At 40.0% G+C, this 19652-nt stretch overlaps 1 pseudogene; it reads right to left on the reverse strand.

Moving 5' to 3' along the window:
* On the reverse strand, positions 6569-6980 carry SETD6P1 (SET domain containing 6 pseudogene 1; annotated as a pseudogene).

Consider the following 19652-nt stretch of genomic DNA (forward strand, 5'->3'; position numbering starts at 1 on the left):
AAATAATTTCAACATTATTGCACCAACGTCAAAATAAGAAAATGCAGAGAATCATGGCCTTTTTTCCAACCTCATGGCAGCTTAAAAAATATATCTCACCCTTAATGCATTCTAACCATGGGCCAGGTTTGGCTGTGAGAGCTGCTGCACAGACAGAACTAATTAGTCAACACTTTATGTATGGGATGTTGGATTTTGAACATAGCAGCTTTTGGTAAAATCAGAGATTTGTCCAAGGCAGACACTGAGAAATATAACAAATTAAGCTTTGATTAAGTCAGTTTTAAATGGATGACTCACACTTTTTAACGGTTGTGAACAGAAGCCAAACAGCAAATCTGAAAAAAAAATCTAAACTCTTGTTCAGAGAAGAGATTAATCTAAATCTGTGGGGAGGGAGGAGGAAAGGGGACTCAGAGCTGCAGCACCTGTGGAGAGCCTGGGACAGTCTCCTGAAGCACAGGCCAGTGTCCTATGCCTCCCTCCGACCTTGTTAGCCCACGTGGCACAGGAACACCAAGGGCCTGGTCAATGGCTCAAGGTCTTTCCTGCTCATTCCCCCTCACTTCCTGCTAGATGCAGCTATCAACAAACCAGACTCCAGCTCTGCCCCAGCCTCCACCAGACTTCAAACCAGTCTCAAAACCGAGCAGTTTAGCCCCAAAATGCATTTTAAAACTTTTTGCCATGTTTTTTTCCTCCCTAGTCTCAAGATGTAAACTTGAAGGAAACTGACAAACATATTCACAGGTTCTGGTGACTAGGATATGGATATCTTCCGGGGCCATCATTCTGCCTATCACAGGCCTTCAACTATAAATTATCATTATAAATATTATAGATTTACAGATAAGGCTTGTCCCAGGGAGACTTGGACCAAGTCTAAGGTGCAGAGTGTTCCTGAGGGCAGATAACACTCTGTCCTCACTGAAAGGATAGTGTGTTCATTGGACAGGTACACAATGAATGGTTGTCCATTAAAGGTGGTCACGTGTTGTCAGGCCACTGTGCTCCAGCATCCAAGCAGCTGGCATAGGAGAAAGGAGAGGCCTCCGGCTGTTCCCGGAAAGACAGCATGGCCTGGCTGTTTAGAGCTGAGACTTGGGTTTGAGGCTGATTTTGCTGTGCCACATACCAGCCCTGTGACCTTGAAACCACCACTTCATCTCTCTGAGCCACAGCTGTTGCACTGGAGACACAGGAGTCATGATATTAACTGCTTTATATAGCTGTTGGGACAAGTGAGGTCTTGTATGTACACTAGGTTAAGCATGTCAATAAACGTGACCCATTATTGTTATAAATAATACAATAAGAAGGAAAATTAGTCTAATTTTGATTTGAACAAGAGCCTTTTATTAACTGAGGAAGGGACCTGCCCTGATTCCTGAAGCGTGAGATTCAGGGCAAGTCTGTAGAGTGTTGAAGCAGTGGCAGCAAGATACCACGGAGAGAGGTCCCAGCTGTGCGGGTCAGGAGGTAGGATTGGAAGGATAACACTCTTCTCTGAAGAAACGCTGGAAAGGTTTACGAAAAAGATTCAGATTTGGTCAGACCCCTGTGAAGCACATCAGTATGGGATCTGAAAATACAGTGTCCTGAATGGGACACTGAGCCCAAGTTAAAAGGCTGCACACTTCGCTTTTAGCATGAAGGAACAAACTGTCACCTAGCTTGGGGTAAAATCCTCCACTGGTCCCAGCTCAGGGAAGGCTGCCAAGCACTCACTGGGCACAGCAGGACACGGGGTTCCCAAGGGGAGAGTAACCAGGCTACAGACTCTGGGGCCCACACACAGATCAGACCTGGCCTGGGCACAGCTGGCAGGGCAGCCAGCCGGAAAGGCTCCAGGCAGGCTCCTGCTCTAATACTTCTTTCTGGAAGCCCAGGCCTGCCCACTCTGTGGACAGTTCTGGGCCTCTAGGCACCCTAATGGTTGCTGCAAGTTGACTTTCCTGAGGACACAGGGAAGCAACAAATAGCACAGGGCATGCATGGCCACAGGCAGGCCTTGGGCTCCATCCCTGCCAGGGGACTGGAGCTGATCCTGGCCAATTCTCAGAAGTCACCTGAGATGCCCTCTGCAGCCTCAGGAGCCAAAAACATGGTTCCTTTCCCAGACACCCCACGATTCTGGGCCTGAAATCAAGTACACTCCTTCTTTAAATAGGGATTACTTTTTAAAATCCAATTAAATAATACAGGTGAAAATGCTTTCTTTATGCTCTTAAATATTATAAAAATGGGAATTTATATTTTTTCATTAATAATAGTTCAAACATTGAAGATTCTGCTATGTCATCTTCATTGAAAGCCCATGAAGTCTCATCGTGGATGAAAAGCAGTACAAATGATGAAAAGCCTAGCAGTGCAGAATAACAGTCATAATTTGTGTTTGCCCACTGGTATTTGCTTACCAAATGCTTTATCTACAATGATTATCTATCTTACTGAGTTCTTGCAATAATCCTGGGTGGCACATGAGGATTGCACATTTCTCCTAATTCACTTAAGTTAAAACTGACATTTACTCTCCTCTACTTAATATTGGGCAGGCTGGGTCCTCTGGGTGGACTTTCTCTCCTGGATGCTGTAACCTTTTGCCTCCGTTGGCCCCACTCCCATTCTCTTCTTTCCTCTTAGTCCTCCTCATCTCAGTCCTCCAGTTTTTACCTACCAGGATTCTGTGTCTGAGCCCCAGAGTACAAAAAATGAGGGATCATAATAGGATGATTTTTCCCAATTTTCTCAAGGTAGTACATAATTAATACCATTCTCTGCTGCATAGCAATGAAGTCAATTTATTGCATATAATGGATGCCTTAGGCATAATGTTCTCAAAGTGGGGGCCTGCGATCAGCAGCTTAGGCATCACCTGGAGACTTCTTAGAAATGTTAGAAATGCAACTTCTTGGGCACAGCCACTCCCACCAGAACAGAAGCTCCCATTGTGGGGCCCAGCAACCTGTGTTTTGACAGGCCTTACAGTGGTCTAGATACATGTTCAATTAAAAAAACCACTGGCTTTAGGATATTCAGACATAATTCTCCCAGGGATGCCCAGTTGAGAAGTTCTGGCTGGGTTCCCGTTCTTCTCTTGCTCCTCTTTAAGCCCATTTTCCACGCCTCTCTCTGAGTCCTGGCCAATCTTTGACTCTATCACTTCAAGTGCCATTGAAGTGTGCATGATCCCCAAAGCACGGGCTACTTACTACTGAAAATTCCTCCTTACATCTTTCTCCACAGACCCTCCAACTCAATATGCCCTGAGCTCCTGCACTGGCTCTGTATGTGTGGGTGCTTGACCCCTTCTACCTCCTGTCATGGCTGCCCCCCTTCTCTGGTCCTGGCTTACTTCTCCTTCTTCTCTGAGTCTTAGCCAAGCAATTGCTCTGCTAGGAGGCCTGAGTTGTCCTCTGGTTTAAATGCCTTGTCTTAGTTCCCATATCACTCTGTAGAGCTCTATCACAATTCTCTCATAACAAAATCTATTGTGATTCCTTTAGATGCTCCTCTTCTCACTACAGTGCAAAATCCTCACAATCAGGGATTATTATCTTTTATCCCCAAATTGAAATCATATTATGCATACTAGATTTGAATAAAAATATTTTGGTTTTATACTACATATTGGCTCGATCCTCTGAAGTGTGAGAACATTAATTTGCCTATTAATCTGCTGCCTCCCTACACCCATGTCTCAATATCTAATTATAATATTGTTTGTGCAATGTCTATGTTTAAATCATTTACATTCTCTCTTGTGATTCCAACTTGAATTTCATATCATGTCTATATGTCAGTGCACTCGAGGCTCACCTCCAGCTTCCCTGTTACCCAGGTTTATAATGGCTCTTCTGCCAGGTTAGAATCAGCCTGGTTTTGCAGGAAGTTCCACAATAACTCAATGGCCAATTAAATGCTCTCCGAATTCACAGTTTACTGTGAGGACACACCAACAGTCAGGCAAATATATTCAACACACATAGGCAGTGATAAGGGTATGAAAGGAACCACAGTCAATAGAGTAGCTCAGGAGACCAGCAAGCTGCCTGACCAACAAGTCCAGTTTTCCCTTTAAATGCAGACCACTGAACACTGTGAAGGGTAGGGGTGGCTCCTGTTTTCTCAGAAGGGCTTCGGGCAGCCCAGCCAGCCTTTTCCAATGGAAAAGAGGTCTCAGCGTTCTCAGGAACAGAGAATCTGCAGATGCCTCAGCCATGACGAATTTCTTTGCTGCTTTTATTGCCCCCTGCAAGAGTTTCTGTGATCTTTCTCTACCTTTTGGCTTCACTCTCTTGACAGGTCTTGGTGCCTGTCCACAGAAGGCATCATCTTATTGACATAGGATGTCCTGGCAACTGCAAAAGTGTGCCACCCATGGGTGTCAAAGTGGCTTTCACCCATGTTAACGGGAGGGCCTAGGGAGTGGGAATATCCACTCTTACCCACGTACACCCTATCTCCCCTACTGTCAGTAGCCTTCAAACTCCCTAGACCTCATTTACACCATGGATACGAGCTGAACTTTGTCCATGAAATGGAAGGTTTGGCTTATTTGGCAGGAATTAGTCATGTTCACCTGTGTTGTGCCTTTTAATTTCTATTATCATCTGCCTCTGGATCTCTCAGATCCAGTTTTCTTTCCTAGGGCTTTGACCCAAAAACTGGACTTGAATGTGGGACAAAAATGTGTCTCCAAGTGAGGAGAGGTTCAATGGACTCTTTATTATAAGTGGAATGCTAAGCTGAAACTGTGGAATTGAGCCCTCCACCAACAAGAGAGGTGAGTCATGTGACGCACTCAGGTAACTGGTGACTATAGTTATGCTTGCTAAGATTTGGATGCATGAGGCTTGGCTTTGGTACTCACAGGCACAGGCATTTGATGACATCATCTGGAAAAATCTGAAACCATACAGTGGACTGGGTCAAGATTTCCAGAACACTATTCAAGAAGCAGATGAGTTTATGAGACTGCTAACCCAAGATGAGCAGAACAGTAATTAATTACATAGGACTGAATGAGCTGATGAAGAATAATTGTGGGCTTGCTTGGAATATTGCTGTTGCTTTATTGTTACACTTTGTAAATGCAAGGAATCTTTTATCTGTTTTCGTAGGTCATCTATAACATAACAATTTAATCGACCTTGATTTTGCTAACAAAAATGAAACATTTATCCTTTTCTCCCTGCCTGAACCTTTCAGAACCCAGAAATTCTTATTTTCATGGCAATATAGTTATTTACATACATTTAGTAGGAGTCTATTCTGGTTAACAGGATATAACTTAAAACACTGGTTCAAGGCCTTGCCTGAGACATTATATTTTAAAATGATAGTCACTCAGGTATGACCAGACATTTTTAAGGAACTAACGTTGACTTGAAAAAGTCAGTACATTCAAAGCCCTCTTGGAAAAGCCATACATGACTTATAAATTCCCAAATATATAGGTAAAAAATAGAGATCATTTCCTGGCAGTTTGAAGAAATTTAACATATTTTATGTCCTTGAGAAGAGAAGAATTCACCCAAAAACTAGAAGTACTGCTGGTGAAGTGTAATGGCTTGGTTTTCAAGAAGGTTTAAAAGTCTAATCTAAGATTCCTTATGGAAACTTCCTACAAAAAAAAAAAAAAAAAAAAAAAAAACTTTAAAAGTCCTATATGGCAAATTGTCCTTTTTCCTTTATCTGTGAAATACTGAGGCCACATCTAATGAGACCCACCATGGGTTAGTAGTTCATGGTCAAGAATGATATTTCTTTGAGATTGCCTTTGATCAAAAGGAGGTATGGGGGTGACTGTAGGGATAAATGTTGTCTTTTAATAGAAGACTCTAACAAATTTGCATTCATTTCCTAGGGATGCTGTAACAAGTACTACAAAGTGAGTGGCTTAAATTTATTCCCTGGCAGCTCTGAGGGCTAGAAATCTGGAATTGTGTCAGCAGGTCTGTGGTCCCCCTGAGACTTAGGAAGAATGTTTCAGCACCTCTTCTAGCTTCACATGGTGGTCAGTAACCCTTGGCTAGTTTGACTTGTGAGACGTATCACTCTCATCTCCACCCATCATCATAGGGCCTTCTGCCCTGTGTGTGTGTGTATGTGTGTGTGTGTATGTGTGTGTGTACCCTGTTTGACCTTCTGTGCATTTGTGTCCAAATATCCTCTTATTTTAAGGACACTAATCATTGAATTATGGCCCATTCTAATTCATATGGTCCCATTTAACTTGATTACATCCCGCAAAGACCCAATTGTAAACTAAATCATGTCCCCCCACCAAATTCATACTTTGAAGCTCTAAATACCAGTGGAGCTACATTTGGAGGAAGAAAGTGATTAAGGGTAAAAGGGGTCATAACATTGGCCCTTGGTCTAATGGGATTAGTGCCCATCTAAGAAAAGACACTAGAGAGCCTGTGCTCTCTCTTCACAAGCACACACCAAGGAAAGGCCACGTGAGGACACAGCACGAAGGTGAACATCTGTAAGCCAGGAGAAAAGCCCTCACGAGGATTAACAAAACACTGATGATTTCGGGTTTCCTAACTTGGACTTGGATTCAAATTTTCCTTCTTTTCAAACATCGATGAATATCAGCTTAGAATTGTGTTCTTATTAGCGTTCCTTCAGGCAAAAGGGAACCTGCTAACTAGTCAGTTCCAATAACTGATGCAAGATCATCTTCTGACCATAGCAAACCTATCAAGCTTGCTGCTTTCTCTGACTCAGTGGGGCATAGACCTCCTAATTACTGAATAAATATTGCTCAGGTTTTTTTTTTAGGTCTGTGAGATAAGTTTGCAGAATCAATAAAACATTGTCACAAAGTAGGTATCTTCATTATGCTATCAGCTTGGGGATATAGATGATCTTTGGGCTGCCCTCTTCCCTTTTATCATCTCCTTATCCATACTGCTTTTTGAACTTTCTGAACTCCTTAGCAGGTAGGCACAGTACCTTTAATGTGGCTTGGACTTCCCTTCCTCAAGAACTATAAGAAGCACATTTCTGTTGTTTGAACACACCAGAATATTGTATTTTAGTGCAGACTAATACAGACACTACTTCTAAATAGGATGATGTTTACAGTCACCAGAGGTTAGGATTTGAACATGTCTCTTGGGGCACACAATTCAACCCACAACATCCTTCAGGGATATCAGATTCTGATCATATTCATTATCTTTATGCTACTTTGAATATGTTTAAAAACTGTAATAATTGATGGATAAGCAAACTGTCTTGATTTCTCCCACTGTGAAAACAAAAGACAGTGTTATTTCCTGTCACCTTGTACACACTGTCAAGCTTCACCAAGTTTTCAGGACTTCCAGTTTCCTTCAATATCTGTTTCCGACCCTCCAGACCAATATTTTAATTTTTCTCTCTCACTTCTGACTCAGCATTACTGAGAACCACAGCTTGACTGCACAGATCTCTATCAAGGCTCTAGGATACCCCGAAGCTGGCCTTTTCCCCAGGATCTGAAGAAGTCCCAAGATTTGAAGCCTGACAACTTACTGAACCTGGAAAAACTGAAAACCACTTAAGACTGCTGGATTCACCCACAGACAATCCACTGTGTGAGCTCCTAGGACTGTCTGGTGAAACACTTGCTTTTTTAAAAAAAAGGAAACCATACTGTGGACAACATCCCCCAGAGCATTGACTCTTCACGTCAAGAAACTCAACAAGCAATGTGTATAATCCAGAGATTTCCATCCAAAGACCTCCTGGGATCTGATAGACTGGATACCCTTGGGGTTCAACTCTTGGCTGTTTAATACAACATTTTATGCTATATTTATGTTTTTCACTTTAGGCATTCCACTTTTAAAATGCCTCATCTTAGGGACATAAAACAGCTCACCATTGCTAGCGTGCTCAACAGACGTTTCCACTGGTTTTCCAGGGACAATGCTCAGGAAACTCTGGCCCTGAAGACTATTGCACTCAGCCATCTACAACTTCTAATTTCCCTTATCCCTGAGTTGCTCAGGGACAGTTTATCTGAGCCTGTATTAAAACAGAGGAGAGACTGACAAAGCTGATCAAACTACATTTGACATAACTTGAGGCTGGATATACTGTGATGGCTGGCCCTCAGTTTTATATGAACTTCCCTCATTATAACTTTTTTTGCTCTATCTCAGGGACAAACCTCTGCCCATGTACTTAAATGAAAATGAACATTCCCTACCTTCCTGTTATTGCAACATTTGACACAGTTCCTTAAGTATCAAGACCGCTCAGCATTTTTTAGTTTTTCTCTTCCCACAGTCATCGATCTCATGTCTTTGCATGTAAAAGCTTTGCTTGACCACCTATTCCAAGAAATGTTCTGGCATGGACCCTGAGCATTTCTCTGTTGCACCAACTGCTCTTAATAAAGTATTTTCTTTATTAAGAAAATCCGGAGATGTGTCTGTGCTTCCTTGACAGTAAATACAACTAATAGTTATCTTCCTAAGCTGCTAAGGGTGTACTGGGATAGAGTGGGCAGTTTCTGGGGGAAGGAGTAACAGAGTGTGAACAGGTTAAACAATGTTCCCAAGGCTACAATGCTAGTAAGTAATTGATTTAGGATTTAGAATTTTTAATTGATATATCTAACTCAATAGCCCATCTTTTCTCAATATATTATGAGGAAGGAAGGAAGAAAGGAAGAAAGGAAGGAAAGAAAGAAGGAAGGAAGGAAGGAAGGAAGGAAGGAGGGAGGGAAGGCAAGCGGGCAGGCAGGCAGGCAGGCAGGCAGGCGGCTTGTCTTTCCCTGGGCTATATTACCTATAGTGTTTCTGTAATTGGTATGAGCCGCATCATTAAGCTTTTGAGCAGCCTGTCTCACTGAGTTTCCTAATGAAGTTGTGAGTCTCCCTTACAAATAATGAATTAACCATAATCACTGTATCAGTCTGAGTAGCCAGGAAACAGAAACCACAGCAGCAGTATTTAAACAGAGGGATTTTGATGTAAAAGATCGTTAACTAGATGTTGAAGAACCAGAAAGCAAAATAAAATAAAACTCTGGGGTACTCTAAAAGTAGCAACTGCAAGAAGCAGCTGCCACACCTAAGGTTGGTAGAACAAAAAGAGGGAGCTGAATTATTAAAATTTAAAAGCTTAAAGGAAAAGTCCCCTGGGACAGTAACCCAGGGCTGGGCAGGTGCTGACATCTCCAAGTAGGGCCATGAGGAAAGTGTGCACATATTGACAAACCCACCCACTCAGTCTAACTGCTGCTATAGGAAGGCCCTACTTCAGATGCAGTGACCAAGATTTTTGGGTATCACTCACAAGTTTGGAAGAGTCTGTCCTCCTTGCTCCAGCCTCCTAATATCACTCTCTGCCTGTGTGGGCAGGGCCTGATTGAAGCCAGCTGGCGAGCATAATGTAAAGTGCAGAGTCCTAGCTCAGACCTCACAAAGCAGAGCAGATGGGTGGTTTGGAAGCTAGGAAATGATAGGTTAATAACTGGCACCTTCACATTCCCCAGTGGGTGAGCCTTCAATGAAGTATACAAACTATTACCAGAATGCAATGGCTTAAAATTATTTACTATATTTTATCATGATTCTGAGAGGTAGTAATATGGGCAGTTCTGTGGGACTCACCTGGGGTCACTCATGCAGCTGATTGGGATCCAAGCTGGCCTCATTCAGACTCTGGAATGCTGGTGCCAGCTGTTGGCGATGGCATCTTAATTCTTCTCCTAGGGCCTCTCATGCTTCCATTGGGGTTACTGGGCTTCTTCCCAGGAGGCTGATGGGGAGTTGATGTTGGCGTTGTAAGAGGTTCTAAGCAGAAGCTGCAAGGCCTTCGAGGCCTCCAGCTCACACACCTCTCCAGCACATCCTATCAGATAAAGCAAGCCACAGGCCAGCCCAGTCTCAAGGAAATGGAGAAAGAGCATTTATCATTTGATGAAAGGGGAAGGAAAATCATTTAGCAAATAGAAGTGATCCAGGAAGGTAGACTCCTGGGAGCTGTGACTGCAACCATTCTCACAGGTGGAAGACCTTTTATTCCTTTAAGTCACCTCCTATTTTCTCCTCATCTCTTCAGCCCACCATCAGCCTAGCTCAGCACTTGAATGCAGAATGGTGCCTCCTTAACCCTCCTAAGTATCAGCTGGTCTCAAAGACACACAATCCCCGAGCCCCTGTTGCAGTCCTTCTTTTTTTTTTTCTGGCCTCCTTACTCCTCCCTATAATGTAAAAGCTCCTCTCTGGCTGACCTTAGAGACACCTGCCAATCTCATGTCTAGGGTCCTCCCTGTTGCAACAGTCCTCCTCCCCTCCCTCCTACAATCTGTTTGAATAGAAGCTCTATGCCCAGATTTCTTTTAATTGGATAGTGACTGCTTGTTACTCACAGCCCTGACCTTGAATGTACCATTTCCAACCTCCAAAGGAATACTGGGTGGCCTATTCACTCTAACTTGGTAAATGTGACAGGCTCATAGTGCTCAATTTCAAATGCATGGACATATGCACCCTATGGCCAGACATTCCAAACTTACCTGGGTCCAGTACTATGCCAGGTAGTATGTCCCAAGGGGGGGCGGATTTTTCAGCTGCAGATGGCATGGACTGCATCTCTTCCAAGAGCCTGTGTTGTGATTCTCCCATTGCATGTGCACTTACTACTGACACCCCCATGGGGAGTGTAGGTTTCACAGACCACGTGGCAGGGAAGCATCCACTACAGAGTGAACCTACTGCAGAGCCCTTTCCTGTCCCAAGGACCTGTTCCTAGCTGCCCATGGTCTAAGTCATCTGATGTAGAAGGTGTCATCTCCAGATCCCAAAGGACCTATCCAGGTGATCAACTTCCTTCTTTGTGGCAGGAGATGCAAGATGCAACAACAATTTGCTTGAACTCTGTAAGAAACATTCTACAAATCCTCTGACTTCTAAACACCTCAAAACTTTATTGAAGTGACAAGTCCCTGAATCTTCTCAGAGTTTAGCTCCTGCATCCACCCTCTGGAGTGCATGTATCTTCCCAAGACCTCCATGGCTTCTTGCTTATCCAACCCAATCAGCATGACGTCTCGACAAAGTAGATCAGCATAGTGTTCTGCAGATGCACCAGATGGCTTTGTTCCCTTATATAACAGGGCCAAGTAGAGTAAACATAATTCTAGGGCAAGACTAGTAGTAACTATTGTCCTTTCCACATGAATTCCAATAAGACTTCTGTTCTGATCAGAAGAGAAGAGTATATCCAACAATTCAGGGTTGTGCACCATGTGCCCAATTGGCTGTTGGAATCAATTCTAAAAACAACTCTGTGTCTGGAGCTGAAGCTGCCATCAGAGTGGCAACTTGGTTGGTTGAGGTAATCTCCAGTTCTCCTTCAGGATACAGCTTGCTACTAAAGAGGCTGCACTGAGGAGTTAAAAGAAAATGATAAAAACCCCCACCACTCCGTATCCCACCACAAGCTTAAGGACTTTTAAAATGACACTCATCTCTTCAACACAACTCCAGCCCCCTATGAGCATGCGATATTGTTATTGATTTGCTATGTAGGTGACTTGGGTGGCAGTTTCAGGTGGTTTCACATGTCCTTCTTACTTGACAGGCAAAGGGCCCAATGCAGGAGCTACCCCAATGGTCAAGTATATTAATCGAATTATCCATTCAGGGACTGGGAAGAGAACTGCTGGGTTGGTCTGCAGAATTTAACTGAATTCACCCAGGACACTAATTATTACATAACCCTATAAGCTCCCACTTTATCAGGGGGCCATGATGATGCTTTGGCTCTTTGGGTATCAATGTCACCTTAGACCCATGTCCAACTGTCCTCAAATGTCAAGGGTCAGCAAACATATTTTATAAAATGTTAATTGGTGAGTACTTTAGGTTTTGCAAATCATAACATCTTAGTTGCAATTATGGACTCTGCAATTGTAGCATGAAATCAGCCATAGACAATGTGTAAATGAATGGACATTGCTGTTTTCTAATAAAACTTTATTTGCAAAAACAGATGCCTGGCTTGATTTGGTTCTCAGTCCACAGTGTGCTGCCCCCTGCTCTAGGCAATCTCTTCCCTTTAATGTCAAGTCACCCAAGTAAATGTCTCTAAGTTCTCTTTGAAGAAGAACTGTGTACACACAGGATACCACAGAATACTTCAAGGTTTCAAGGTCCTTTCTCCTAGCAACAGAAATATTTCTTCAATCACTGCATTCCAGAAATGAAGACACAAAGACATCATGAGAATATAAAACTACACACTAACATCCCTTATGAATATAGGTGGAAAAATCCTCTACAAATACTAGAAAATAATCTAGCAGAATCGTAAAAAGAATTATATACCATGACCAACTGAGATTTATTCCAGGATTCGACAGAGGTTCAAGAAATGAAAATAATCAATCAGTGTAATATTCCACATCAATAGAATAATGGATGAGAACAACTACATAATCATATTAACTAATTCAAAAGATACATGTGAGAAATTCAATATCTCTTCATGATAGAAACACTGAAGTAACTAGGAATAGAATATTCAGCAAGTATAAATCCAAAGAGAACCACATGATGACACAATATAATTGAACTGCCTAACATCATTCACAATGAGAGAATCTTTTTTACTTGTAACTTTTGTTTTTATTTTATTTTTAAAATTAATTTATTTTTAATTGACAAAAGGTACATATTTATTCTGTGCAACATTATGTTTTAAAAATGCATACACTGTGGAATTGCTAAATTGAGTTTTTTAATATGTGCATTACCATATGTGCATATATTTATTATTTTGTGTGTGTGTGGTGAGAACCCTTAAAATTTACTGTCAATGATTTTCAAAAATACAATATATTGTTATTAGCTGTGATCCATATTGTACAATAGATCTCTTGAAATTACTTTTCCTAGCTAACTGAAAAAATGATAATCTTGGAAGCAGCAAGACAAAACAATTTGCTGCATATGAAGGGCCTCCTTAAGATTATCATCCAATTTATCAGCAGAAACTTTCCAGGCCAGAAGGAGGTGGGGCAATATATTCCAAGTCCTGAAAGAGAAAAATTGTCACCAACAATACTGTGCCTAGCAAAACTGACCTTCAAACATGAAGGAGAAAGTAAAGCTTTTTCCAAATAAACAAAAGCTGAGTTTGTTCCCACTAGACCTGCTCTGAAATAAATAATCAAAGGAGCCCTTCAAATTGAAAAACTGGATGCTAGACAGCAACATAAAGCTGTATAAAAATATAAGGTTCTCTGGTAACAATAAACACATTGACAAATATAGTAACTTAGAGTTTTATGTATTCAAAACATACGGTTTGGAATTACTTATGTTTAGAAGAGAAGCAGAACAGAAAATTTTGTAAAATTTCAGAGCTGCTCAAGGTCAAGAGAACCCACCTCTTATATCCATGTGACCTGGAAATGAGACTTGGAGTCAAAGGAGTTCATTTTGGAGCTTTAATACTTGACTATCCTGCTGAATTTTGGACTTGCATGGGGCCTGTAGCCCTTTTGTTTTGGCCAATTTCTCCCATTTGGAATAAGCGTATTTACCCAATGTCTGTATCGCCATTAAACCTAAGAAGTAATTAACTTGCTTTTGATTTTAGAGGTTCATAGGTGGAAGGGACTTGCCTTGTCTCAGATAAGACATTGGACTGTGGACTTTTGAATTAATGTTGAAGTGAGTTAAAACTGGAAGACTGTTGGGAAGGCAAGATTGATCTTGAAATGTGAGGATGTGAGACTTGGGAGGGGTCAGGGCAACATAATATGGTTTGGTTGTGTCTCCACCAGATATCACTTTGAATTGTAACAATCCTCACATGTCAAGGGCAGGGCCAGGTGGAGATAATTAAACCATGGGGACAGTTTCCCCCATACTGTTGTCCTGGTAATGAAGAAGTCTCAGGAGATCTGATGGTTTTTTCACTGGGAGTTTCCCTGCACAAGCTCTCTTGCCTGCCGCCCTGTTAAGATGTATCTTTGTTTCTTGTTTCCCTTCCACCATGATTGTGAGGCCTCCCAGCAATATGAAACTGTGAAGCCATTAACCCTGTTTTCCTTATAAATTATGCAGCCTCAGGTATGCCTTTATTAGCATTGCAAGAAAAGGCTAATACACTGCATGAACTATTTATATGTAGAGTCTAAAATAGTGAAACTCATAGAAGCAGAGAGCAGAATGATGTTTGCCGGGGTGGAAGGAAAGGAAAATGGGAAGATCTTGGACAAAGGTCACAAAGTTTCAGTTATGCAGCATGAATAACTTCTGGAAATCCAATGTATAGTGTGTAACTTTAGTTAATAATACTGTATTATATACTCAAAATTTGTGAAAGGTCATTCTCACCACACAACAAAGACAGAAAAAAGAAAATGGTAACTGTCTGATGTAATGGATATATTAATTATCTTGATAGTGGTGATGATTTCAGTGTATATTCTATCAAGACATCAACTTTTATACATCTTAAATACATGCAGCTTTAATTTGTCAATTATACCTCAGAAAAGCTAAAGTAATAAAAACCTAAATGGAAGACGTAAAACTGTAAAACACCTAGAAACAAACATAAGGGGGAATACTCATGATACTGAATTTGGCAATGATTTCTTGGACATGACACTAAAAGCACAGTCAATGATAAGCAAATGGAACTACATCAAGCTTCAAATCATTTGTCTATCAAATGTTATATTCAACTGAGTGAAAAAGCATGGGAGAAAATATCTGTAAATTATACAAGTCATAAGGGGTCACTATCCAAAATACATAAAGGAGCCATACAAATAAGTCAAACAACCCAATTACAAAACAGACAAGGGACTTGAATAGACATTTATCCAAAAAGCCAACATGCACACGAAAATATGCTCAATGTCAAGCAAAATAATGATATATCACCTCACACTCAGTAGGGATGGTGACTATAAAAACAAAACCCAAAACAAAAAATGGCTCCTCAAAAAATTGAAAATAAAACTACTATATGATTCACCAATCCCATTTCTGGTTAGAAGTGGAAAGAAGGGTCTCAAAATAATTAAAAGCAGGGTCTTAAAGAAATATTTTCCATCCATTTTCAAAGCAGGATTATTCACAATAACCAAATGGTGCAAAGAAACCAAATGTCTATCAAGGAATGAACAGAGAAGCAACATCTGTTATATGCATAAAATAGATTATTTTTCCGTTTTATAAAGAAATAATCCTATCACATACTTACGTGGATGAGCCACGAGGATGTTACTCTAAGAGAAATAGGTCAGTCCTAAAATGACAAATACGGTATCATTCTATTTCTATAAGGTATCTAAAGTAGACAAATTCATAGAATCAGAAGTTAAAATTGTGGTTCCTAGGAACTAAAAAGAGAAAGAAAAGGGGAATTACAGTGTACACTTAAAAATGGTAAAGATGGCACATTTCTTTGTGTCTTTTTTTAACCAGAAATAAACATAAGACTCAACAATGCTATTCCTAGGTATATACCCAACTGAATTGAAAAATAGTTCTCAAATACTTAAGCACAAATGGACTGTTCACAGTAGCATTACTCACAATGACCACCAGCTGTAAACAGCCCACATTCCTGCCAATGGATGAATAAATAAACAAAATATGGCACATACATACAAACAAATGTTTTTCAGCCATAAAAGACTTAAAGTGCCATAACACAAAAGGTTACATATTGGATGAAACATCCCAAATAATTTGATTGATTCTGTAGAGGCATAAAGAAGGTTGGTGGTTACCAGGTGCTGTGAGAGGAGGGGTGAAGAGGGAGAGCTTCATGGGGATGGCACTTTCTTTAAGGGTGAAAACATTTTCTAATATGAGCTAGAGGTAATGGTGGAATGTACTAAATGCCACCAAAATGTACACCTTAAAATGGTTGATTTTATATTATATTAATTTTAATTTCAAGATTTTAAATTAATTTTTTATTTTTAATATAATTTTTAAAAGTTTTACATTTAAAACTTTCAATTAAAAAATAAACATTACAGGAGAAACGATGACAAAATATATCCTAGAAAAAGTAAACACAATTCCTGAAAAAATACATGTTGTTGCTTATGATCAATATCTTTTTGCTTCTCATAGTTTGTTTGAAAGTTGCTACACCCCGAAGCTTATGGAAAACTTTAAAAGTTTTTTAAAAAAATAAAGAAGACCCATGTCATCCCCATGTCTATTTTATTTTCACCATATGGTATCCCGTTAACTTGTGGTGATGACTAGTAGAGGGCACAGAGGGAAAGGCCATTGTGAAGCTTGGGGTGCCTACTTTCCATGTGGTAAAGAAGGGTAAAGTCTATTTCCTATTTGGTAAGATAAAGATACACAATGTTCTCAATGTACAATTAATAAATGTTTGGAGCTACGTACCTTTCTGTGTGCTGTTCTGTTTCCGGAAATTTCCCATGACTCAAAAATGTTATCAGATGACACTACCCTCAAAAGGGACGGATAATGTTGACAGACAACACTGTTAATATAGACAATCTTGCATGAGAGACTGTGACTTTGAAACTATGAGGACAGTCTATTTGGAATCATCTATTTCTCAATTATTTGTATTTCTTCAGATTAGATTAGAATAATAAATCTAAATACATAACAAGATTGTGTAGTAAGCCTCTAAGAGTCAAACACATTGACAAAGATTCTAACAAAATTAATGTTGTCTATACTACATAATTTATTTTGCTGAAAAGAATAGAGAGAGTAATAAATTATATTTTTATCAAGTTCCTTAAAGACCTCTCAAAATAAATAAAATGTTCAAATATATGAAATGTTATTGACATAGTTAAGGTCTCTTTTTTCCTCAAAAATCAAAAACAGATTCTTTGGAATGACTGGTGGAATTGTAAAATATCTTGTAAGATTAACTGATAAATGCCAAGCACAAACAAAATTTTGCCAGTAATAAAAAGAGGGGATATCATAAATTCCTGCAAACATCAAAGTAATAAAAGAATGTTATAATGGAAGCTATGCCAGTATATTTGAAAATACATGCAAAATGGAAAAATTCCAAGAATGTATAATTTTTCACAACTAACTCAAGAACAGATAGAAAATATCACCTGCTATTCAGTGATAGAAGTTTCCACTTGCTCCGATTGAGGAAGGAAATTAAAGAAGTAAAGAAAAATAAAATAAAAAAAAAACAGAAAAGAAAAACAAGTCTTCTGTATTAGTCTGACTCGTCCCAAAGGCAATAACAGGCAAAGCCCAGACCCAGGCAAACTCTCGATAACATTATCAAAGAAGCCAGGGCTCAAAGAAATGTGCTCTAGAGACTCTCCAGAAAGAAAACAAATTTTTCTTTCCCCTATAATATGAGTAAACTTATGAGTTTATAGATTCCTGTTTTCTGTAACTACTAACTTCCAGTATTCTGTTTTATCTAAGCAGCACATTGAAGGTTATAAGACATGCCTGAACAGGCGTGGGCTACAGCCATCTAGGCCCCGTAGTGAACATTATGAGACAAGCCCATGCAAGGCACTAGAGCAAGCCTAGATAACAGCCATCTGGACTGCATAGCAAGAGCTGCATGTAATCCAGAGTTATGAACCTATCACAATTTGATTAACTGCCTTTGTTCTGCCTCAGTATTCTTGCTTTTGCGCCACTACACTTCACGCCATTGTAAACTTCTTTAAAGCTAGCCTACACTCTTTCAGAAGTGTGTATAAAAGTCAAGTGCTGTCTTTGTTCTGGGGCCAGTTTTTGGATGTTAATCGACTGGCTCTGAGTGTTCTCAGTAAAATCCTCCTCTTTCATCCTGTCATCTCTCTGGTCCTCCTTCATTCCCGCAACAAGATGTTCACCAATACCTGGCAGTTATAGAAGTGTGTCAATTTTTCCAACTAAAATAATTTAAAAGAATTCACATTTTTAACATTTTCATTTCCTTGAAAACTCATGCTATTGGACATCTTCCCATATGTTATTTGGACATCAGGTTTTCCTTTTCTGTGAATTGCTTACATGCATATTCACTGATTATTTTCTTAGTTTATATTTTTGGTTTATAAAATATTTTTATATATCATGGATACTTATTTATGTATGTTCCAAATATTTGTTTTTTGATTATCAAAACTAATATAGAAGAATATTTTTTCTTTACTACATGGAAATTTTATATTTTATTAATAAGTTCTGCCAAGCCTCATAGTAATAAAAAGATTTTGTGTCCAAAAGTGGTAAAGATTTACTTTTTTTTATATTAAGACTTTCATTTCTGTTTTGGATTAGATTTACCTAATAAGAGTCTCAAACAAAATCATATAGCAAGCAGCATACAGGAATCTGTAGATGCATTCACATTAAGATCAGAATTAAAAGAGAAGAGGCCAGAAATGCTTACGGGATGTGGAGAAATTGAGAAAATAATAATTTTTTCAGGGAAAGACAACATGCTGATCCTGGTTATATTGATATAAAGATAAATAGTGGGGCTGGGGGCAGTGGCTCATGCCTGTAATCCCAACACATTGGGAGGCCAAGGTGGGTGGATCACAAGCTCAGGAATTTGAGACCAGCCTCGCCAATATGATGAAACTCCATCTCTACTACAAATACAATAATTAGCCAGGTGTGGTGGCATGTGCCTGTAGTCCCAGGTATTCGGGAGGCTGAGGCAGGAGAATCACTTGACCCCAGGAGGTAGAGGCTGCAGTGGGCCAAAATCGCACCACTGCACTTCAGTCTGAGCAACAGAGCAAGACTCAATCTCAAAAAAAAGATTTTTTTTTTTTTCATAAAAAGAAAAAGATAAATAGTGGGCCCTAAACTAGAAATTCTGGCAAGGTGGAAACCTCAGGTACAATTCTAAGCCTTTTGAAGTTGTTAAAATGGAAAAAAGCTAAAATTGACTAAGACCTAACAAAAGATACCACATAGACAGGGGATCAAATTGTCAAATATGTGCAGTGAAAAGAAACCACAGGGAGAGACAAAGAGATGCAAGTAGACCAGGTTCTCTGCCCTTGGATCTTAACACATGCAGTTCTTCCCTCCAAAAGGAGACCAGAGACAGCACAAAACAACAAGCATGCAGAGATGGTTTTGTGACAATTACAGCATCTGTTTAGGCAAGGGGACTCTATCCAAGAAAACCTCCCAGTTCTTCCTACACCAGCCCCTAGGACAATTATCAAAATTGTTATTGGCTTCAGGTCTGTCATGACAGTGTGACCAAATGATCCAATTGGACGGGGACTGTCCTTTTAGCTGGAAAACTCCCACTTCTTACCTTGACAGTCAATGTAATCAACAGAACCTCTTTTCACACTCACATTTTTCCTGTTTTGATATGTTCACCCCTTAAAGAAGGTCTGTAGCAGGAATGGTCATGTTTCACAGTGAGAACATTCTATATCATGCATATGTAATGGAAACTATAAAGGGAGCATTTTAGTCCTCCTCCTCCACCAGGAGTTTTCACAAACAGACCTCATTTAGGTTTTCTGCAAGACATCAGCTCAGCAGCCAAGTGTAATGATGATATGAACCACCACGTGCCGGACATCCTTTGTCCTGGGCACTGTTCTGATGCTCTACATAATTCACGTCACATGATTCCTAAAACCAGGTTGCCAGATAATGGAGAAC

The sequence above is a fragment of the Homo sapiens genome, chromosome 2 (genome assembly GCF_000001405.40).
Source record: "Homo sapiens chromosome 2, GRCh38.p14 Primary Assembly".
Taxonomy (NCBI): Eukaryota; Metazoa; Chordata; class Mammalia; order Primates; family Hominidae; genus Homo; species Homo sapiens.